Source organism: Homo sapiens, chromosome 19, assembly GCF_000001405.40.
Source record: "Homo sapiens chromosome 19, GRCh38.p14 Primary Assembly".
Taxonomy (NCBI): domain Eukaryota; kingdom Metazoa; phylum Chordata; class Mammalia; order Primates; family Hominidae; genus Homo; species Homo sapiens.
The window spans coordinates 20,769,208-20,794,038 of NC_000019.10; the positions used below are offsets into that span (position 1 = coordinate 20,769,208).

Consider the following 24,831-nt stretch of genomic DNA (forward strand, 5'->3'; position numbering starts at 1 on the left):
AACTGTTGGAAGCAAGAGCTCAGAGTCGCAAAGAACATGGGCACTGAAACAAGGAATTTCTCAGCAAGGCAAGGCACATTTACTTCTGCAGAAGGGTGCCAGTCATGTCTCTGGCTGTTTTGAGAGCACAGCATACAAGAGAGGGAAGGAGTTTTTATCCCTAACACAGTCCCTACTTCTGTGTGCTGCCCCCATTGGCTGGAGTCAGACCACACAATCTAAGCTAACTCGATGGCTATTTTAAATCGAGACTGGCAGGAAGGTTGTTTACAGAGCAGGTAACTAGGAGTGAGGAGGACTTCTTCCAAATAAGGAAGAGATGTGGGTTACGGATTGCGACTGGGGAGAAGAGATGTTTACAGAGCAGGTAGCTAGGAGCGGGAAGGTATAAGGAAGTTGATTTTGAGAACAAACAACAAGGAAGTTACCCTTTGAAGAGGAACTTATTATGCCTGACACAACCCTGGAGCTGAGCAGATTATGAACAGCCTGTCAGGTAGAATCTGCTTAAGCCTGCCGAGTTCCCACGGTGGGGGAGACCAGCACCACCGTTGCAGTTGGCTGCTGTCTAAGCTGTTTGAGCTCCTTGAGGGAGGGACAGCAGCCAGCACTGGGACTCGAAACTGCCTAACAGGCTAAGATCCCTGGATGGGGAAAGGGAAGCAGCCATCTCTATAGCTCCTGGCCTCACTTTTCCTCTGCTAGATCCAGGAAAACTGGACAGCTTGGTCTCAAGAGGTGTCCCCCACAGCCCAACACATGGGCTGTGGCAGACTGTGGCCAGAATGTCTCTTCAGGCCTGACGCTGACCCATCTCTCCTCACTGGTCAGGGCCTCCCTGCAGGAACTCCAACATCTCCAGCCAGGGGCTCAGGGACATAACTCTGATCTCCCTGGGCCTGAGCCCCTAGGGGGAGGGGTGGCTGCAGTCTCTGTGGACCAGCAGACTTAGCCTTTCCTCCTGCTAGTTCTGAGGAATTTGAGCAGCCCAGATGAGTGGGTTTCCCCCCAGCAAAACACCCCCCTCCACCAAGGAACAGTCAAAGTGCTTCATTAAATGGGTTCTGCTCCCCATGCCACCCAACTGGTGACACTTCAACAGGGGTTGTCAGACACCCTATACAGGAGCCATCTTAATGGCATCAGGTTGGTGCCTCTTGAGATCAGAGATCACAGAGGAAGGAGCAGACTCTGCTTTTCTCCAACCTCCTTGAGTGACATCTCCAGGCATGGGAGTGAACCAGATTAATAGGGCCTGAAGTGAACCCCCCTCAAACTGCAGAAGCCCTACAGAAGATGTACCTGACCATTGAAAGAAAAACAAACAAACAGAAAGGAACAACAGCATCAACAACAAAAAAGTACCCACAAAAACCTCATCCAAGGCCAGGCATGGTGGCTCACACCTGTAAAAAGGTTAACGTGTTTTTGTGATTGGCTATTGTTTTTCAGTAACTAACGTATAGGAATAGATTGAAACAGAAATTTCTCTGAAACAGCGCCGGATGAATGCCTAAAGGGGCTCACACAACCTGCTCTGAGACTTGGTGACCATTATTTTTGTCCACGTTCAATTGAGTTCAAATTTAATATTTAACTTTTCCAGTACATTCGGCCTCAATTGGATATTCAATTGTATTAAAATACCCTTACGGATACATCGGGAAGGCATAGTTGATATATATTACAGATACAGGGTAAGCACAGGAGAATTAAAGGCACAATTAATAAAAATTAAACCCCACATGGCGTTGCAAGCAGAGTAATATTGTGAGACTTGCCAGGAATATACACACAACATTTAGTATGCAGTAAGGCGCAAACCCCTCCTTGGGCTGTGGTAAGCATATCTAATGCCATTTGATTTTGCAACACAACAATACGCAGCTGAGCAAATTCATCTGATAACAACATAAGCCCAGTGCTACTATCATTAAGAGCTTTTTCTACATGTAAGCTAAATATTATAATTTGTTGGTGAAGCAAGATTGTACCAGTGGCAGGGGAGAATACTGTGATAGGGTACCACCACCAGGGAGTCCAGCACATTTGTAACCAGCGATGTTTGTAAGCATCTAGATTACTGGGGAGGGGAATATTATCCTGGATGGTGAATAGAATTAATGGTCACCCCCAAGTGCATCTCCCCATCCAAAGTGGGGGCAGTATCACCACCGATAGGATCTGCATACCCAGAGGGCCCCCCAGGGGACAGCAATGGAGCTACTGTAATCATAGTGTACTAATCTCTTATTAAAATAGGAAAGAGATTGTTGTTCATTGGGTGCAATGTTGTTGATTTGGAGTATGTGTTGACAATTGAGTGGAGAAACCCCAGAGTAACATTAGAGGAGCCATTTAAGGCCTCTAGACAAAGCAGGGGCTATATGGAATCCAGCCACCAGCACAGAAGGTTCGTAGTATATACCATTCCAGGAACATTGGGCAGAATACCAAGGCTTTCAATGCAAGGTGAGGGTGGAGTTCATCTTTTGTCTGACTTGGCAAAGATTGATTTTTTAGTGTGGTCAAATGAAGTCCAGGTTGGATTGCAAGTGCTGTTGTTGCAGCCCCATTGGTAACAACATAGCCATTCAGAAATGTTGTCAGGGATGATTCTCCAAGGTAGACCATTTTTGGCGGCCTCTAGCAACTCCACGTATAGCCAACATTGATTGCAGTTGGCTTCTGTTGCAGCAGTGGCTAAAAAGTTGATGAATTTATTCTTGGCCTCAGACACAAAGACACAGGTGCTGACCATTAGTAGATAGGTTATTCCCTGTAATAACAAAAACAGAGGGGAACATCATATTGTTTTTCATCTTTAGGAAATTGTACTATGCCTTCATTTTCTGCTTTCATAGCTACAAGGTCACCAGCCTTAGGGTTGGGATCTGATGGACGCTGTACCCATATTTTGGCTCCAGGATTTAAGCTTCCTGTACCAGGGGATCTGAATCCCCAAGTTCTGTATGTAGCCTCTGTTGGGCAAAGATTTCCTCAGGGGTTAATTGTGGACAAGGTACCACTAACAATTGAGCAACCAGCATCTGTGGTTTTATAGCAAAAGAATCTGGAGAGGTATTGTATAAAATGTCCTTTAACTCTCCCCGGTAATCACTATCAATTATTCCACCATACATTATTATGCTTCTCATTGCAAGGCTTGAACATGTTGTAATCCATTTACCCACATTCAAGATCACAGTTATGGTGGAAATTTTTGCCTGTTGATCTTCCTGCTGATTAAATAGTCTGTCAAGAGGAAGCAGAGACACACTAGCATCAACATGGAAAACAGGGCCAGGCACAGTGACTCACACCTGTAATCCCAGCATTTTGGGAGGCTGAGGTGGGCAGATCACAAGGTCAAGAGATTGGGACCATCCTGGCCAACATGGCAAAACCCCGTCTCTAAAATTACAAAAATAAACTGAGCATGGTGGCTCATACCTCTAATCCCAGCACTTTGGGAGGCCAAGGCCTGCTGATCAGGAGGTCAAGAGATGGAGACCATCCTGTTTAACATGGTGAAACCTCATCTCTACTAAAAATACAAAAATTAGCTGGGTATGGTGGTGTGTGCCTGTAGTCCCAGCTACTCGGGAGGCTGAGGCAGGAGAATTGCTTGAACCTGGGACATGAAGGTTGTGGTGAACCCAGATTGTGCCACTGCACTCCAGCCTAATGAAAGAGTGAGACTGCATCTAAAAAATGAATAAATAAAAAATAATACAAAATTAGCTGGGCGTGGCAGCCTGTGCCTGTAATCCAAGCTACTTGGGAGGCAGAGGCCAGAAGAATCACTTGAACCGTGGAGATGGAGGTGGCAGTGAGCTGAGATTGCACCACTGCACTTCAATTTGGTGACAGGGCTGGATTCCATCTCAAAAACAAAAAACAACAACAAAAAAACATGGAACACAGTGACGATGGGAGTATGCACCAGGATTCAGATACCTTACCAATATTGTTTTCCCCAAACCTCTTTATTCCGCATTAACCATTTGTTTCATTGCCACTTGGGCACCCAGGTAGTAAGACCATTTGCTACTGACAAAGAGTTGATATAAAAGTAACAAATCCCTCTGGCCTCCTCCTGAATAGCTCGGAGAAACGACTACTAGTTCAGCTAACTGGCTGCTCCCACCCCTTCCTTCATCAGAAATGCTTATGTTTTTAACAGGATTATAAGCCACAGCCCTCCAGCATTGGGTCCCACCAAAGTATTTGGTGGATCCATCAGTAAACCAAGCATGTTTCTGATCCTCTGGGCTTAGTTCTTTAAAGGATTTGCCCCATTTGATGTGTGTGTGTGGGGGGTGTTTCTTTCCCTATCTGCAGGACTTGCTTGGTTGTTTCCTGAGCTCGCAGGTTTTCCACATCCTCATGTAAAAGTGATAGCCCCTATGATTTTGGCTTAGCCTGGTTTTGTATGTCCCATTTCCATTTTATGATGCTACTTTCTGGGCATGCCCTATCTGGTGGGTTTTGGGGGAACTCATGACCAAAGTCATAATAGAAATTTCAGGCCTCATAAAGACATCGTGGTTGAAGCAGAGGTGTTCCATTTCCAGCAAAGCTCAATAGCAAGCTAACAATTGCTTCTCAAAAGAGGAATAAGCTTTTCCAGCCTCTGGCAGTTTCTGGGTCCAAAACATGAAAAGTACCCTCTTTCCATCTTGTTTCTGCCTAAGGCTCCAATTAGCATGTTGATCTACGACAGTTACTCGCAGTTCATCAGGCCCATCCCATATAGGCCATAGATCCAGGGCCAGTTGCACTGCTTGTTTAGCTTGTTCAAAAGCCATGCTGTCTTTCTCTCCACAGTGAGAGTCATACCTTTTTCTAGTGGCTGCATTCAGATGTTGTAAAATGTTACCCAAGTAAGGAATATGATGTGTTCAGAATCCAAACAAGTCAATACATTTCTGGGCCTCCTTCTTAGTGGTAGGGGTTGCAAATTATAGTATTTTAGCCTTAGCCTTTGGTGAAGTGGACTGTTTCTTTGCATTCCATAGGATGCCAAAGAATTTTACACTTTGTGCGGATCCTTAATTTTACTAGGCTTAATTTCCCATTTTTGAGATAGGAACTGGGTTTTTACATGCTCTAAGCCCCGGCTGACTAGTTCTTCAGTTTTACCCTGATTGGGCCACCTGGACAGCTGCTTTTTTCAGCAATAGGCTGATAGCTTTGAGCCTGATCAGTCAAGACATTGACTGGCATTGGGCCAGGGCCAGTCCGGAAGTCAGATTAGCATTTTCCTTTTCCAGCTTATATTTCTCTTGTAGCAACCAGCCCCTATCTTGACACATTAACTTATAAGCAGCAATCAAACACTATCCACTTTGTGAGATTCCCTCAGCATCTCCTTTGGTGACTGGAATCCCCTGCAGCACTTCACGCACAGTCAAAGGTTTAAATTGCACTAATTTAGATTCCCAATTCCCACAAAGGCCAGTTCCCCTGAACCATTCAATCACAAAGAAGGAGAACTGGGAGTGATCCCATCTCAGGATATGGGAAATCCTTGAGCCTCCAGCCCTATCCTTCTGGTCAAAAAGGGGCCCACTTTTGTTTTCAAATCCTGTTTGTGATGCCAAAAATGTTCTGTATGGGAAACGTGGGAGAGGAGAAGAAAAGACATACATACAATAACTTTAATGGTAAACAAGCTTTAACCCACATCAATATCAATGCAGACAGAATAAACTAATGATATAATAAGCAAATGATATAATAAGCAAATAAATATAATACACAGATTGATATAATAAGCAAATTGCAGTAAGAAGAGGAGATGGGAAAAGATATATATATATATTTACCCTCACTAGACTATGGAGGATTACCAACTGAGTAGGAAGAAACAGCCCAGGCTCCAGAGTCGGCCACCCATTCATGCACAGACAAGGAGTCTCATGAAGCTTCAGGGTGGTCTGGGACCCTAGCTCTTTTGTAACGAGTTGTTTGGCATAAGGCCCAGTGAGGAGGGCCATTTGGGACTTGCCTCACGGAACACAAAAGGGTCAAGTTGTTTTTGTGATTGTCTATTGTTTTTCAACAACTAATGTATAGTAATAGAATGAAATAGACATTTCTTTGATACAGCTCTGGATGAACACCTCAGGGGCTCACAACCAGGACCTGTTCTGGGACTTGGTGACCATTGTGTCCACGTTCAATTGAGTTCAAATTTAACATTTAACTTTTCCTCCATAAATTCTCCTGTCTTCATGAATTGGCTCTGTCTAGGCAAAGGGCAAAATGAACCCCTTGGGCTGTTACATAACCTCCACCTCCTGGGTTCAAGTGATTCTCCTGCCTCAGCCTCCGGAGTAGCTGGGACCACAGATGTGCACCACCATACCCAGCTAATTTTTTACATTGTGAGTAGAGATGGGGTTTCACCATGTTGGCCAGGCTAGTCTTGAACTCCTGACCTCAAGTGATCCACCCACCTTGGCCTCCCAAAGTGTTGGGATTACTGGCATGAGCTACCTGTGCCTGACCCTAAATTATTTCTATCTCTTATAGCAGTTTGAAATTACTTAAAGGTTGTTTCAAGTTGAAAAAATAAGAAGAATGTGGATAAAAATAAAATATAAATAGATAAAAAAATTACAGGGATTACAAAATATATATGTAAATCTGGAGTGGTCAAAAATGACAAATTTGATTTATTTATAAGGTTTTATTAAAATTAGCTTTAATCGTTAATACACTATTACCAAAGTAAAAGCTGATTTTCTCTTGAACAAAAATTTTATGTATTATTAATATGACAGCAAAATACTTCTGTTCACCTTTGAATACATTCAACAAGACAGAGAGTAAAAAAGAGATAAAATGTTCCCATGCTCTGGCATGGACCAGGCTCAGCTCTGGGAGGAAGCCCTGCCTGAAAAGGCTGCAGCTTAGGCTGTCACTCTTTTCTTCACTCCGCCCAGCAGCTGATCACATCTTCTGTCACTCAGTGTCTGAGGGGGCGGGACCTTAAGCATTAGCCAATCAGAGGCGCTGGGCTGGAAACCGTCCAATCAGGCACGCAGCTGGAATGAACAGGACGGCTTCCGGATTTGGCGGGGTCTTTGTCTCTCCCTGCAGCTGGAGCTCCAGGTCGTCTGTTCACTGCTCTCTGTCTTCTTCTCCTAGAGGCCCAGCCTCTGTGGCCCTGTGTCCTGCAGGTATTGGGAGATCCACAGCTAAGACGCCAGGACCCCCTGGAAGCCTAGAAATGGTGAGAGTGCCGGTCCAGCATCCCGAGAGAGGTGAAGTGTCTGTGGCGGGACTCAGGCCTCCCCTCAGTCAGCTCCACAATCTGCACCCCGAATTCTCCTTACCCAGCTCTGCCTCAGTCCCATTCAGCCATAAGATGGCGGCTACGCTGACAGCCTGGCCCCCGGGCGTCCTGTCGCTTCCCCGCGCAGTGACTGTGCCCCTGGCCTGGAGCGCTCTGTGGGCAGCTCTGCACCCGCAGTGCCGTGTCTCTCCCAGATTGTGCAGGGACCACCGGAGGGTCTTCAGGGGAGAATGCTGACTCGCGGTGCGGGTTCATGAATGGGAAGAGCTTTGGTCTGTGGGGTTCACAGTTTCTCTTTTCTGCTATTAAAATTGTATGGGGCCGGGCGCGGTCGTTCAAGCCTGTAATCCCCGCACGTTGGGAGGCCGAGGCGGGCGGATCACTTGAGGTCAGGAGTTGAAGACCAGACTGACCAAAATGGGGAAACCCCTTGTCTACTAAAAATACAAAAATTAGGTGGATATGTTGGCGAATGTCTGTAGTCCCAGCTTCTCGGGAGGCAGAAGTGAGAGAATCGCTTGAACCCGGGAGGCGGAGGTTGCAGTGAGCTGAAATCCTGCCACTGCACTCCAGCCTGGGCGACAGAGCAAGACTCTTGTCTAAAAAAAAAAAAAAAAAAAAAAAATTATGGGAGTCACTGCAAAAATATCAAACAATTTAATCAAAGAGTGATTCAAGAATTGTAGAGCACCCAGCTATAGTTTGTAGTTTGTGGTCCATGGGAGAGGCTTGAAGAAAAGACATTTATAAAATGCATGATGAGGAAAACCAAATTCAATAATTTGTTAGGTTTAGTAATGTAGTTTCTTAATTTGTACAATCAAGGTGGAAATTTCCTGGTTATGTAATTAGAGCTTAATTGGCAGTTTATAGTTGCTGAAGCCTGAATTTTGTTTCCCCTAATGTAGTAATTTGCCAAAAAATGCACTTGAGCTTAGATTTTTTTTTTTTTTTTTTTTTAGAAATAGAAATCCGGGGACTAGAGCCTCTTCAGTCTAATTGCCTGCCACTTAATTATTTTCACATCCCACAGGGGACTGACTTTCCCTGGCATTTTTCACATGTGTCCCAAGCAGGGCCTCAAGTGTCCCCCATGTTCCTCAATTAATTATTATTATTATTATTATTTTTTGAGACGGAGTCTTGCTCTGTCGCCAGGCTAGAGTGCAGTGTCAGATCTTGGCTCACTGCAACCTCCACCTCATGGGTTCAAGCGATTCTCCTGCTTCAGCCTCTCCAGTAGTTGGGACTACAGGCAAGCGCCACCACTCCCAGCTAGTTTTCATATTTTTAGTAGAGATGAGGTTTCACCATGTTTGCCAGGAATGCTAGTTACCAAGGAAAAATATAGGGAAAATCTCTCTTCCATTTTGGCTGTAGACAATGAATATATTTCCACAGGAAAATGTGGTAGATAATTGAGGAGTTACATGGATTCATCAACACATTAGTTCCTCTTTTTGCAGGGTAAATTTTTTCTATATCCTTTTATTTTGATTTCTGAGTTAAATGCTAAATTTTAAGTGATGAAACATGGTACCTTCTAGAAGTGTTCCCATATGACTAATTTTTTACTACATTATTTTATTTATTTACTTATTTTTTTGAAACAGAGTCTCACTCCGTCACCAGGTTGGAGTGCAGTGGCGTGATCTCGGCTCACGCAACCTCTGCCTCCCAGGTTCAAGCAGTTCTCCTGCCTCAGCCTCCCAAGTAGCTGGGATTACAGGTGTGTGTCACCACGTCCAGCCAATTTTTTTGTGTTTTTAGTAGAGACAGGGTTTCACCATGTTGGCCAAAATGTTCTCAATCTTCTGACCTCGTGATCTACCCACCTTGGCCTTCCAAAGTGTTGGGATTAGAGGCGTGAGCCACAGTGCCCGGCCTACTGCATTATTTTTAAGATAAATAATAAAATAATACATACATTGTCTGAAAGAAGTAGATATATATGCTTTTCTTATAGGGGTATAAAATGCAAGCATCTTAGCCAGGTGCAGTGGCTCATGCCTGTAGTTTCAGCACTTTGGGAGGCCTAGACAGGTTGATTACTTGAGGTCAGGAATTTGAGACCAGCCTGCCCAACATGGTGAAACTCATCTCTACTAAAAATACAAAAGTTAGCCAGGTGTGGTGGCATATGCCTGTATTCCCAGCTACTTGGGAGGCTGAGGAACAAGAATGTCTTGAACCCGGGAGGTGGAGGTTGCAGTGAGCCGAGATCATGCCACTGAACTCCAGCCTGGGCCACAGAGTGAGACTTCGTCTCAAAAAAAAAAAAAAAAAAGTAAGAACCTTAAAATTTCCTTCCCTTATGTAAACACTGCGTTTGAGTAATTTCCCTGGATTTTTCAAACACATAGTTTCAAAAACTAAGTGAGTAATTCTGACATGGAAATTAAAGCTTGAACCTAGTGACTCCAAGCTAAGGCTAATAATTAAGCCTGCAACTGGATATTGAAGACTCAGTTAGTTTTTTCTGGGGAGCCTCCCGTGCAGGTGTCCAGCCTGCTCACCCCAGCCATAGAAGGAGCCTTTATCCTGAGAGAAGCTACAGAGCCCTGGAAAGCTGGGGTCCCACAGGCAGATGCAGTTGAGGTTAAGATGAAAGGAAACTGAGAGGGTCTTACTGATGATGCAGTCGTTATGTTTTGTGGCACTTTCTGTACTTTGTAAAATAAAAACATTAGATTTATGTAAAAAAAAAATGAATTCCAAAAAATTATTGCAACAGGAGAAAGTACCAACTAAATATAAGATCTTTATGGCTTGCAAAGATGTAGGCAGAAAAGGGCTTTCTTTTTTAGGGAGAGGTAAACAAGATAAGAAAGGAGGTGGGAGGTGAATGGCAAATGGAGAGTGAAAAAGTCAGATTTTAGATCAGAGGATGTCTTACCCTGAAATCAGCATGTTCTTAGGAGGAATGTAAAATGGGGTTGTATGTTGACTCAGACTGAGGGTAGCTCAAAGTTCAGGAGCCTGAGGGAGGGAAATAAACTTAAGAAAAGTATGATTAAGAAATATTTTATTTTAGTCCGGGCCCAGTGGCTCATGCCTGTGATCTCAACACTTTGGGAGTCTGAGGCAGTCGGATCACCTGAGGACAGGTGTTTGAGACCAGCCTGGCCAACATGATGAAATCCTGTCTCTACTAAAAATACAAAAATTACTGGAAGGCTGAGGTGGGCGGATCACCTGAGGTTGGGAGTTTAAGACCAGCCTGACCAACATGGAGAAATCCCATCACTACAAAAAAAAAAAAAAAATCAACAGGTGTGGTGGTGCATGCCTGTAATCCCATCTACTCGGGAGGCTGAGGCAGGAGAATCGCTTGAACTCGGGAGGTAAATGTTGTACTGAGCTGAGATTGCACCAGTGCACTCCAGCCTGGGCAACGAGAGTGAAACTCTGTCTCAAAAAAAAAAAAAAAACACCAAAACAACAAAAATTCGCCAGGTGTGGTGATGGGCACCTGTAATCCCAGCTACTTGGGAGGCTGAGGCAGGATAATTGCTTGAACCCAGGAGGTGGAGGTTGCTGTTAGCCAAGATCGCATCACTGCACTCCAGCCTGGGTGACAAAGTGAAGAAATTATTTTGAGCACTGAAGACAAATTCAGCTGTTTTTTTAATGAGAAAAAGGAGAAAATGTGCAGAGCGTGTGTCTGCCTGTGTGATAGGTAAGAAAAGAGAGCACTATCTTAGTCATAATGGGAAGAGTGTTTGTTTGCATAAATTGTTCCTGGAGCACACAAAGAATGGAGAATTTTATTAATCACAAACATTTTCCAGTATTATCTATGTGTTTCATCTTTCCCCATTTCTTTTCTTTGTTCTATGCATTTCTCCCATTTGGCTTTTCCTGGGCTGCGTCTCACATATTAAACTGGTAAACATAACTACAGTGTTTTGCTAAGTTCTGTGAGTAGCTCTACCAGATTATTAAAATTCAGAGAGGTTATGGGACTAACAAGTTTTTAAACAGTAGCTCAGAAGCATAGATGGGCCCATGGGGTTTTTGACTGGCATCTGCAGTGAGGACAGTGTTGTAGGACCAAGCCCTGAATCAGGGTCTGTGTTGACTCTGGGTGGTGTCAGAATTCAAATGTTAGACAATAAGTTGGTGTTGGAGAATTGTTTAATGTTCAGCTAACTCTACAGATTTGGTGCCAGAAAAAAGATATCACAGAGGCCTGGCCTGGAATAAAACTAGGTGTTTGGGAATGGGAGCTCTGCTTTCCCATACACAGGCTGTCACACTGCCCATTGTCCTGTGATTCAGGTCTTCTCCCAGGGTGACAGAGGACTGAAAACTTAGAGGACAGGAGCTCTGATTACAGACCCCCTTTTCCCACAGCTGCCACCACAAGATTCCCACCCACTCACAAACACACACACTAGACATTGACACGTCCACACTCCTCCCAGGACTAGGCACCACCCTCAGAAACTTCACCACAGCATTTTTGACCCTAGTGTTTCTTGCCAAGAACCCACAAGTCTCTGCAAGTCTCCTGGCATATCCCCATCCACAGATGCTAAATCTGCAGCAGCAACCAGTTTTCTCCACCAACCTACCATTTTGGATCAGCTGTTCATAATCTCATCTGCCTGCACACAGTAATAAATCAGAGTATGGCTGCATTGGGACCACTATCTGCAGCAAAAATCAGTCCTCTCACCTGCATTGCACTCTCTCCTGCCCAGGGATTTAATTTTTTATTTTAGCTTTTATTTTTGATTCGGGGTACACGTGGGTTTCTTTTACAGGTAAAATTATGTCATGGGGGTTTTGTGTGCAGATTATTTTGTTAACTTACGTACTAAGCATAGCACCAAACAGGTATGTTTTCTGATCCTCTGAGTTCTCCCACCCTCCACCCTCAACTAGGCCTCAGTGTCTGTTGTTCTCCTCTTTGTGTTCGTGTGTTCTTATTATTTAGCTCTTACTTATAAATGATAGTACATTCATTTGGTTTTCTGTTTCTGCATTATTTTATCTTTTTTTTTTTTGGAGACGGAGTTTTACTCTTGTTGCCCAGGCTGGAGTGCAATGGTGTGATGTAGGCTCACCTCAACTTCCACCTCCCGGTTCAAGTGATTCTCCTGCCTCAGCCTCATGAGTAGCTGGGATTACAGGTGCATTCCACCATGCCCAGCTAATTTTGTATTTTTAATAGAGATGGAGTTTCTCCATGTTGGGCAGGCTGGTCTCCAACTCCTAACCTCAAGTGATCAACCCACCTCGGCCTCCCAAAGCGCTGGGATTACAGGTGTGAGCACTGCGCCAGGCCTCTGCATTTGTTTTCTAAGAAAAATAGTGTCCAGCTTCATTGATGTTATTGCAAAGGACGTGATTTTTTTTTAATGGCCACAGAGTATTCCATGATGTTTACGTACCATATTTTGTTTTGACTAAATCTTTTATTTTATTTTATAGTTGGAGACAGAGTCTCACTTATTGCCCAGGCCAGAGTGCCATGGCGTGATATTGGCTTACTTTAACCTCAACCTCCCAGGCTAAAGCAATTCTCTCCTACCTCATCTTCCCAAGAAGCTAGGACTACACCTGGGCGTTACCACACCTGGCCAAATTTTCTTTTTGTATTTTCCGTGGAGACAGGATTTTGCCATGTTGCCCAGGCTGTTCTCAAACTTCTAAGTTCAGGCAGTTCACCTGCCTTGGCCTCCCAAAGTGCTGGAATTACAGGCATGGGCCACCGCTTCTGACCATACCATATTTTCTTTACCCAGTCTACCATTGATAGGCATTTAGGGCCTGTCCTTGTCTTTGCTATTGTGAATAGTGCTGCAGTGAACATGCATGTGGATGTGTCTTTATAATATAATAATTTATATTTCCTTGGGTATATACCCAATTTTGAGATTTCTGGGTCAAATGATAATTCTGTTATTAGTTCTGTGAGGAACCGCCACACTGCTTTTTACAATTGTTAAACTAATTTACACTCCCACCAGAAGAGTATAAGCATTCTGTTTTCTCTGCAACCTTGCCAGCATCTGTTATTTTTTGACTTTTTAAAAATAGCCATTCTGACTGGTGTGAGGTGGTATCTCATTGTGGTTTTTCTTTTAATTTCTCTAGTGATTAGTAATGAGCATTTTTTTCATATGCTTGTTAGCCACATGTATATCTTCTTTTGAAAAGAATCTGTGTTTTTGCCTACAATTTAATGAAGTTGTTTGGTTTTTTCTTTTAAACTTGTATAAGTTTTTAATAAATTCTGGATATTAGACCTTTGTCAGAGGCAAAGTTTGCAAATATTTTCTTTCATTCTGTAGGTTGTCTTTTTCCTCTGTTGATAGTTTCCTTTGCTGTGAAGAAGTTCCATTTGTCAATTTTTGCTTTTGTTGCAATTGCTTTTGGTAGCTTCATCATGAAGTCTTTGCCAGTTTCTGTGTCTAGAATGGTGTTTCTTAGGTTATCGTGCAGATTTTCTTATAATTTTAAGTTTACATTTAAGTGTTTAATTTATCTTGAGTTGATTTTTGTATATGGTGTAATGAAGGGATCTAGTTTCAGTCTTCTACATAGTGCTAGGTAGTTATTTTAGCACCATTTGTTAAATAGAGAATTCTTGCTGCATTCCTCTTGTCAGCTTTGTCAAAAATCTGATGGTTATAGGAGGGTGGCATTATTTCTGGGCTCTCTATTCTGTTGCATTGGTCTTGTGCACTCGTGGATTTTTTATAACATCTTTCTCTCTTCTCCTTTTTCCCCATAAACATTCTTTGAAGTGCATACAGTGTGAAAAATTCAGATGTCCAAGAGTTCAAAACTATTTAAAAAGTTCCAAAACAAATTTTGCTATTCTGTCTGTTCTTAAGGGATTTAGATTATATGTAGATATTTTTCTCTGCTTTTTTGAAATATATGTAAATCATATTAACAGCTAAATAAACCTTTTTCATTTTTTATGACTCCAGATTATCTTTATCTGGTACTTCAGATTTATTGCTTTGTTTTTGCTTCTGAAAAGTTTATTTTTTTCATTTTTAGTCCTTTAAGGTAGACACAGATTTGTTTAGTTAAAACTCATTTAAGAGCACACAGAAGCATAGCACAAAGATAAAATTAAATTTAGCAATACAGAATGATAAAGACTAAAAGATACTAAGTTTCTTTGACAGAAACCTGATTATCCAAGGTAATTATCCAATATTTGCAGGCTGAAGTACTAATACTGCAAATGCAAGAACAGTTCAATGCATGAACTCAACAGTGGAATCTGTAGTTGTACCTTGTTTTCTATTTATTACTTCAGAACAATTAGCATAGTTATGTTTAGTGTTTGTAGACAAACTGCATTCATATAAATTAAACAGTGTTTCCTCTTTTTTGAGACAGACTCTCACTCTGTTTCCCAGGCTGGAGTGCAGTGGCGTGATCTCAGCTGACTGCAACTGCTGCCTCCCAGATTCAAGTGATTCTCCTGCCTCAGCCTCCTGAGTAGCTGGGATTACAAGTGCACACCACCATGCCTGGCTAAGTTTTTGTATTTTTAGTAAAGATAGGGTCTCACCATGTTGTCCAGCTTGATCTTGAACTCCTGACCTCAAGTGATCTACCCATCTCAGCCTCAAGTTGCTGGGATTACAGGGGTGAGCCATAAGCAGTATTTTCTACAATATTATGAATATAAAGCCACAATACTTACTTTGAATCACTTAAATGGTTATTTTAATATTGTAATTTATACTTTTGAAATATAAAGTGTTTTAACTGAAGTATAGTTACAGTTTTTAAAAATGGTACATATACTATGACGTTCATTAAAATTATTCATACTTAGATATTTATATCTAATAGCCAGAGAAAATTTACTACCAAATTATTACAGTAGATATTTGTCTGACATATTTATTACTTTATTCAATAGGAATAACAATGAGTAAACACAATTTAGGTATCTTTTATTTCACTAAATTGGTATGTTCCTATTACAGGACAGATAAAGACAGGTGATGTGGCCACCCCAACACCATAATACCTCTTCAGTTAGCTATGTTGCAAGTTCTAATATATTCCACTATACGAACACAATCAGATTCTATTTCTTCATCAAAAAGTGTTGTTTGAAGTTGTCAGATGTATTTCAATATAGAACCCCCATTCAATGGCTAGAAGATGAGACAGCAGCAGAGATGGAAAAGAAACTTTATAAAATTATTCTTTCTGAAAATCTGCACCCTCCTAATGCTCATGTTTCTCATGGTGAGAGTAGCTATACACTTTGAGTGTTTCGAGAGAAATTTATTTTAGGAGAATATTTTCTGGCTGACTTAACAATCTTATATCTAATCTGACCTTTTTCTTAAGATCTTTTTAACTTCCTTCTCTCAAAATTATCTTGCTCAGAGGGAGATCTGTTTTTCTCTCCAATGCTTTGTCTGTTTCAGAAGCCTTACTAGTATCCCGTGGTGTCTGAATGAGGTGGGTTGTCACAGTGAAAACTTCTGATGTTATCTCTATCTGGACTCATGTTGGAAATTCAATATTTTTTCCATGTCACCATTATAAGTAGAAAGTGAGGCTGAAACACTGCTCCCAGTTTCATTATTGTGAAGATATGATTCTACCCAGGAGGCCTGCAGGCTCTCCTCCTGCAGCTCAGGCCTCACTCTCTGTTGTGACATTAGAGTGTTGCTGTGGCAAATGTAGTTCACATAAAATGTGAGCTGTGCTCTGGGCTGTGCCTCAGTGGCAGATAGTAGAGGTCAAGAGAGGAGACCAGCAACCAGGGGAAAGCAAGCAGGAGTGCTGTAGCCCAGTGCCAGGGAGTACAGAGCCACTGCTCTAAAATGTAAATAGCCAAAGAGAGAATCCTATTCAACCATTTTTGTAGCAGAGTGAAAGCCTACCTTCAGCAGCCACTGGGCTTCAAGCTGCTAAACTACCTCCTGTTCTGAAGATGTGGAAAGTTTATTTGTCATTGGATATAAGCATTTAGCATACCCAGATGCCCTATTCCATCTCCAGGTGATTTTAGGATGAACTATGTGTGACATGGTGCTATAAATTCTTCTACTTGTGGACTAATTATGGTGACCATCTTTCCATCTTTGTATTCTGTTAAACATATTGACCATGATGTATGTCACTTTCAAGTTTAATTTTATAAGAAAGCCATTTTCTTTCTCTGGGGCTGAAGAAACCATTTTCTTTTTCTGGGGCTGGAGCTTCTCTGGGGCTGGAGAAAATTTTTCTTCTTTTTCTGTTTTTGTTTGTTTGTTTGTTTGTTTTTTGAGATAGAGGTCTCACTCTGTCACCAAGGCTGAGTGTAGTGGCATGATCTCAGCTCACTGCAACCTACAGCTCCCGGGTTCAAGTGACTCTCCTGCCTCAGCCTCCTGAGTAGCTGGGATTACAGGCACCTGCCACTGTGCTGGGCTCATTTTCATGTTGTTAGTAAAGATGGGGTTTCACTGTGTTGGCTAAGCTGGTCTCAAACTCCTGACCTCAGTTGATCTGCCCACCTCAGCCTCCCAGAGTCCTAGTCCTGGGATTACAGGTGTGAGTCACTACTCCCAGCCCAATTTTTCTTTTAATTATTGTTTCCAAACACTGTCTAGAATTACCAGATGTGATATAAACACATAAGGTGCCAACCAGAATTTACTCTAGAGGGGACTTTCCCTCTCAGGCTTCCAGTCAACTTATACTTGTGCAGCAAAGTGCACGCTGTCCCCTAAATATGCAGGCAGAATTGTGTCTCTGCCTATTTGGTATCTAGAGTTCTCTACAATCACTTCTAGAGAGGCTAGATCAAATTTCTACAAACTTCACGGGCAGCAATCAATCATTTTACCTCTTTCACTGACTCTTGTATCTTCAGACTGAAACTGATTCAGAGAATATGGAGCCCAGAAACCCAATCAGAGTAACATGTGTGCATTGAGTAGACATAGAGACATGAGAATCTCCACTTTCTTCTTCCTCCTCTTGCCAAAATGCCCACAAACGTACAGGTAATACCTGCTGCTACTCCAGCCATTCAGGCCATAAATCTGCAGCTTCAAATTTTGAATCCAGGTCATGAGATTTGAGAAATAAAAAACTTTTATCTGAAAAATGCAAGTCCTTTTGGTTATCAAACTCAGAGAGACATTAAAATAAAAGTGCAGTTACATCTTTATCCTATTAACTATGTATTAATCTCTTGAAACTGTTCCCTATTGGCACAAGTAGCTATAAATGACACTAATAATGCCACATTGGACACTATATTTTTGTTTGTTTGTTTTTGAGATGGAGTTTCAATCTTGTTGCCCAGGCTGAGTGCAATGGCACAATCTTGGCTCCCTGCAACCTCTGCCTCCTGGGTTAAAGCAGTTCTTCTGTCTCAGCCTCCCCAGTAGCTGGGATTACAGACATATGCCACTATGACCAGCTAATTTTGTATTTTTAGTAGAGATGGGATTTCTCCATGTTGGTCAGGCTGGTCTTGAACTTCTGACCTCAAGTGATCTGCCCACCTCGGCCTCCCAAAGTGCTGGGATTACAGGCTTGAGCCACTGAGCCTGGCCTGGACACTATATTTTATACCCTAAACCATTATGATATATATCTAATTAATAATCAATGCTATTTCTGTAAATAAAAATTTCTGAAAAACAACTTTGTGTCAGCCCACTCTCTGTCCCTCTGTTGTTGTCTTTACAAATCCTCTTGTAATTGCTGCTAATTAAAGTGTAGATTCCAGGCAACTTGAATCTTTGCTCCCAGGTTATGATCCTTAAACTTGACCCAAATAAACTGTCTACTTATGTTCATGTTGTGTCAGCCTTTTTTAATATATATATAGACTTATCATTTAGAATGTGCTAGAGCAGCCTTCATGAGGGGATCTCTACTTAGATTGTATTCCACTTGCTGTAACATCAAAGGATGCAGAGCCAGGTTGATCCTACCTAGAATCTGCAATTAAGGTCTGGCCTCTGCCTGGGATTTACAAAAAAGCCTGGACTTTGGATAGAAAATGTACAGAAAACTAACAAAAGGCATTTTCTGCGTTGTGAGATGTCAACCTAAACATCTTACAGCCCCATTTTGGGAGTGTGGCTCTTTGAGATTTTTCACATCTTGTTCATTGACCTGCTACAGTGATGTGAGAGGCTCCAGGAGGAAATAGAATCTGATGGCAGAATTTGTAAGTGTAAATAAGCATCTTAGGCATGAGAGATCAAGGCCACAAAGTATCCAGAGCCATGATCACAATTATAATTACCTGTAAAGTGGAATACTGGAGAAGAGTTATTTTTGTTATTTCCTTTACCCATGAGCTAGCAAATCAGAATGGGTGTTCCAGGTTCTGGAGTTCCACCAGGGCAGTTCCATTTTCTATTTAGAATCAGCCTGAGTCTCTCCAGCCTGGTTGATCATTGGGCCATCAGCCCAGGGTCACTGGGAATTCCCTCAAAATCACCTAGGTGTCTTTGAGGTATTTGAGGATGTTCAGAGCAGAATTGTGTTAGACTGACAAGAGTGGTTAATTCTGCTTCTGTCTCAGTGTAAGAGAAATGAGTCATCCTGTGTTTTTTCATCCCCTCATACAAGAGGTATCTTTGGTTGCTACCCAGATGAGAGTTTCTCCAGTTTCCTGTTACTTGGATGATAAAGAAGGAGGAGATCTGGAGACTCAAACAGATAAACTAGTTGCTTCAATTTCATATAGCCATTAAAAAACCATGAAGCAGTCATGGTTCCTACAGTCCAGAAATGTTTAGTCTAGACTAGCAACTGGATAAATAATTATGCATCATATGGTTGGTACAATAAACACGTGTCCAAAATCTTGGGCTTTATTTAGTCTACTTTGTTTATATTGTGACTTCTGATGTCTACATCTCAAGGCATATTTATGAACAGAAGGATTATTATAATTTTTATTTTGAGACGGAGTCTGTGTCACCCAGGCTGGAGTACAGTGGTGTGATCTTGGCTCACTGCAACTTCTGCCACCCTGGTTCAAGTGATTCTCCTGCTTCAGCCTCCTGAGTAGCTGGCATTACAGTTGCTGGCCACCATGCCCAGCCAATTTTTGCATTTTTAGTAGAGACAGGGTTTCACCATCTTGGTCAGACTGGTCTCAAACTCCTGATGTTGTGATCTACCCGCGTCATCCTCCTGAAGCGCTGGGATTACAGGTGTGAGCCACCACGCCTGGCCATATAATTTCTATTTCTTTTACCTTGCTAAGTGTACATATTTATTTTCTAATAAAATTACCCTAGAAAGGCTGGGCATGGTTGTTCATGCTTGTAATCTCAGCACTTTGGGGGTCTAAGGCAGGTGGATCACAAGGTCAGGAGTTTGAGACCAGCCTGACCAATGTGGTGAAACGCCGTCTCTACTAATAATACAAAAATTAGCTGGGCGTGGTGGCACACATCTGTAGTTTCAGCTACTCAGGAGGCTGAGGTAGAAGAATCACTTGAACCCAGGAGGCAGAGCTTGTAGTGAGCTGAAATGGCACCACTGCACTCCAGCCTGTGCAATAGAGTGAGACTTCATCTATTTAAAAAAAAAAAAGTTACCCTAGAAAACCTTAAAGGATTTGTTTAAATTGCGTATTAGTATGTAGCATAAAGTTGACAGGGCAGTGGCTAGAAAATATTAAAATTACAGAAATTCTGGGATTTAAGTTTTTCTTTTAGGTAACCTTTGAAAAAAGAATACTGGTAGTACTGCAGTGGCATAGAGGGAAGAATTCTACATAGAGTCCCCACCCTGCCTCAGACCTGTTCAGATTCACCCTTTTTGGAGGCCTTATTTTGGTCTGACTATACCTTGGAGTCTTTCCTCAGAGAACTGATTAGAAGAGATCAGAGTTTTGGCTGGTGAATCCTGTTGCCTTTCTAGAGCTGGTGTTCACAATTTCTTGAAACCCAAAAACAGATAAATGGGATAAATAACGTATGTATTTTAGGGTCCTAGATTTTAAATGTTCTATTAAAACCAGTGTTTGCAGAGACATTATATTTAGACACTTGTTTTCTATTCCTGCAGATCCAGTAGTTGCTCCATAAGTCACAAAAAAGTAAATATAAAGAGAATAAAATTTTGTCTAAACTACATTAACCTCTTTCTTTCTGTATCTCTTTCATCTGTCTATATTTAGCTTTTATTCCTTATAATTTAAAAAAAATTGATGACAGAGGAACAGAAGAAGAAATAGAGATTCTGGGCCCTTTTTTGAAATCCTGGAAATTATTAAACCCTTAGTACCAGCTCCCAGGATGTTACGAGAATTAAATCACATAATGTGTTATGCCCAGCACAGTGCTCTGTATCATGCTCTTGAGCACACAGTATCTGTTTAATAAACATTGCATTAGTACATGTGTACATGTTGTTTTTAAAATACAGACTTATTCAGACATTGCTGCCTTCTGTTTCCTCTCCTTGTTTGTACCAGAAGTATTTGGTTGTGACAAGAGTGCTAAGTGTAAGGGATCCTGTGCTGTGCCTGCTTCTCTAACTAATGTAAATAATGCGCCAAGGGGGAGCAACATCAGCTTTGACAGGGGACTTGTTTAAAACACCCATGCATAGACCCTTTTCAAATCTGCAGAATTACATTACATAAAGTGGGGCCAAAATTACCAAGTGATTTATAAGCTTGTTAAAGCTTGAGAGGCAATGCTTAGCTTAGTGATTATCAGCCCAGGGTTCTCATTAGGATCACATGGCCAATTTGCAGAAATCTCTTGTGCCCTCCCCACAGGTTCTGTTTATTGTTCTGGGTGGAAGCATCCACGTTGTTTTAATGAAGGGCCTCATGTGACTCTAAGGTGAGGCCAGAATCAAGTATGAAGGCTTCAAAATACATTCATGAGAGTTAAATTCCACCTTTGCACTAAAGGGTGGTCACAGGGCCTATTCTATTTGGGTTTGGTAGGGACAGGTCAGTGTGGTGCATATTTCCATTACTGTGGCAGAAATTGCTGGTGTCTGTGGCAGGGGAGGGCACCTGAGGACAGGAAAGGAGAAACTTATATTTTCATCTTCATGGAGCAGCTCATTGCTCCTGAATCTCTTCTGTTTTAAAGGATAGAAATGGATGGATTTTTCTGTCTTTTTCTGCCAATTGATGCCATGCTAGCTGGTAAACATGTGGCACTGACACCTTTAAAGGCATATTCTCAAGATGCAGGGGTAATTTGTCCAGAGAATCTTCATCTGAGAAGGAATTCCAGAGAAGGAGGAGATCAGAAAGAGAAAAAAAAAGGGCTTCAGGTAAACATGCCTCAGCTGAAAAGCTATGTCCACTCTGCCTCCTGGAATGCCATGTATCTAGTACTTGAAAACTTTTACTTCTCTACTTGTGTTTTTCCTCCCTAAGGAGTTTGGTTTAAGTACTTCTTAAAATTCTTATGATAGTCAAACGTGTCTGAAAAGTATTTCTTCCCTGTATCCCAGAGCCTTCTCTTCATTCTCTACATCATAACTTCTTATACGCCATGCAGATTTATCAACAGGAATTTATGATCTGCAATATTAAAAATGTTCCGTTTGTGGCTGTTGAACATGGAAAGATGTGGATACTCAAGATTTCTATTGGGGAAAACTGTGGTCCTTAGTAAAGATGGAGAAAATATAATGTTGAGGCTCCATTCATGTGTTCCATTAGCTGTATGCTGAACAGGATTAAGGAATTGCTTATTTAGGTCGGGCGTGGTGGCTCATGCCTGTAATCCCAGCACTTTGGGAGGTCAAGGCAGGCAGATCGCCTGAAGTCAGGAATTCGAGACCAACCTGGCCAACATGGTGGAACCCCGTCCCTACTAAAAATATAACAATTAGCCTGGCGTGATGGCAGGCACCTGTAATCCCAGCTACTTGGGAGGCTGAGGGAGGAGAACCACTTGAACCCAGGAGGCGGAGGTTGCAGTGAGCTGAGATCGTGCCATTGCACTCCAGCCTGGGGGACAAGAGTGAGACTTAATCTCAAAAAAAAAAAAAAAAAAAAGAAAATTGCTCATTTAAATGTGATGGCATTTATTACCCAGAAATTCTGAAAAAAATTATTAGGAGATACCTGCTTTCTAGGGTGTTAATGAAGCCTGCTTAATATTACTACTAAAAATTACAGAACATAGGAGGTATCTGTATTTTGAGGTTTGCATAAAACTGATGATTCTTTTTGATTACATTCAGATTTTATTTGCTTTTTTTAAAAAGGAATATTTCAATAGTGATGCTGTATTCTTCTGTATGCATTAACACATCATAAAAATTTGTCCTAGTGCAGTTAATGGTTAATGATTCACTTGCTTAAATAGGTCTCTGACAGACTTTTTTTTACTATATAGCTAATTATTTTTCTCTTCATTATTAAGTTTCATTATGCAGCTGATGTGAACAAACAATCATTTAATCTGGCAGCTGTTCTTTTTTCTTTTTTTCTACATATTTTTCTTTGGAAAATTAAGGCTCTTATCTTTGTTTACAGGCCAGAAAAACTGGAAAAAACACAGGCTCTTCCACTTACTGGATGTTTGACAAAATATTCTTCTTGGGCCAAAAACATTGACATTATTGGTTAGCTTGCTAGAAATTCAAAAAATCAGACTTTATTCCAGATCTTCTGGAAAAAAACCCTGCATAACAAGGTCTTCAGCTTATTGTACATATTAAAACATGCCTTTTTCATCTGAAAAATATTCACAACTCATTCCATATGATGTAAATATAGCACTCAAAAATGTACATGTTTGTGTTCATGCCCTTAATTTTATAGTTTATTTTCTAGAAAAATATATGAACTGATGTTGTGGATCTTATGTTCCTTTATTTTCTCAGAGTTAGAGAATACTTTAGAGAATATTTCTGTGTTGAAAATTATTTTATAGGATAACTTTAGTCAGTCCTATAAGTCAGAACCAGTTATCTTTACTCTCTCATTTCACCTTAAGTCAAATTAAAAATTCCGCCCATAACCACTTGGTGAAAATGTGTGTGTGTATATTTTTCAGGGGCCATTGCAATTTAGAGATGTGGCCATAGAATTCTCTCTGGAGGAGTGGCATTGCCTGGACATGGCACAGCGGAATTTATATAGGGATGTGATGTTAGAGAACTACAGAAACCTGGTCTTTCTTGGTGAGAAAAACTTTAATACATAACTCATAATATACACAAATTGTTTTATTTCTCTTTTTTGTAGAATGTTAGTAATTTATTCTTTTTATAAAAGAGTTTCAGATCCAGTTTTTCAAGAAAATCTTCAGAATTTGTTCATTTAGAAAAGAATTACTTTGGTGCCTCATGCCTGTAATCCCAGCACTTTGGGAGGCTGAGGCAGGGGGATTACCTGAGGCCAGGAGTTTGAGACCAGCTGGCCAAAATGCTGAAACCCCAACTCTAATAAAAGTACAAAAAATTAGCTGCGGGCTGTGGCATGCACCTATAATCCCAGGACTCAGGAGGGTGAGGCAGGAGAATCACTTGAACTCAGGAGGTGAAGGTTGCAGTGAGTTGAGATCATGACATTGCACTGCAGCCTGGGCAACAGAGCAAGATTCTGTCTCAAGGAAGAAAAAAAAAAAAGAAAGAAAAAAATTTCTTCAAGATATTTCATCTTAATACAAACTTTCCACATTTCTGAGGTGAGTTATATTCTTCACTCTAAATTAGTGGTAATTCCAGAAATTTACTGACTTAAAATATTGTAGCTTCCACCTGAAAATCTACTTGCCACCACCAAGTTTTGATTCAGTAGTACCAGGTAGTAAAATTAGGAAACCTACAAATTGAAAGTATTTTCTTTTCTTTTCTTTTCTTTTCTTTTCTTTTCTTTTTTTTTTTTTTTTGAGACAGAGTCTCACTCTGTTCCCCAGGCTGGAGTGCAGTGGTGCAATCTGGGCTTACTGCAACATCCACCTCCCAAGTTTCTCCTGCCTCAGCCTCCCGAGTATGTGGGACTACAGGCACACATCACTATGCTCCGCTAATTTTTGTATTTTCAGTAGAGATGGGGTTTCACCATGCTGGCCAGGCTGGTCTCAAACTCCTGACCTTAGGATCTGCCTGCCTCGGCCTCCCAAGGTGCTGAGATTACAGGCATGAGCCACTGCACCAGGCAAATTGGAAGTATTTTCTAAATATTTAGAAATCTCTGTTACAAATTTGTATTTTGTTATTAATTTACTAGAATATTTTATCACATCATCTTTCCTGAGCACATTACTAGCTTGTAATTGGAGAATGTGAGCAAGATTCATGTTATTTATTTTTGATAAAACAGGTATTGTTGTCTCAAAGCCAGACCTCATCACCCATCTGGAGCAAGGAAAAAAACCTTCGACTATGCAGAGACATGAGATGGTAGCCAACCCCTCAGGTAGGTGTGAGTGAAAATGAATACAACAGACAACACAGTAAGAAGTCCAAGGTCAAAAAGAAAGCCAGTCCTTAAGGTGTGATTCTGGAAGCTGTGTTCCAAAGGAACTTCTGGGCAGCTGTTTTTTTTGTTTTTTGTTTTTGTTTTTGTTGTTTTAAAT

The 24,831-nt window shown here is 41.4% G+C and overlaps 1 protein-coding gene and 1 pseudogene across 2 annotated transcripts in view; one reads left to right on the top strand and one right to left on the bottom strand.

Annotated features, from left to right (window-relative positions):
• The first annotated feature begins 7,096 nt into the window (after positions 1-7,096).
• Positions 7,097-24,831, top strand: part of ZNF66 (zinc finger protein 66) — a 33,692-nt gene continuing 15,957 nt past the window's right edge. Inside the window, exons 1-3 of one of the 2 annotated variants that reach the window (XM_047439350.1) lie at positions 7,097-7,274; positions 23,305-23,431; positions 24,576-24,671. In XM_047439350.1, coding sequence (XP_047295306.1) covers positions 23,368-23,431; positions 24,576-24,671 — 160 coding nt within the window. In that variant the 5' untranslated portion in view covers positions 7,097-7,274; positions 23,305-23,367. The remainder of the gene's footprint in view (positions 7,275-23,304; positions 23,432-24,575; positions 24,672-24,831) is intronic. The other variant, NM_001355197.2, reaches the window with a different exon arrangement.
• Positions 15,392-15,945, bottom strand: BNIP3P24 (BCL2 interacting protein 3 pseudogene 24; annotated as a pseudogene).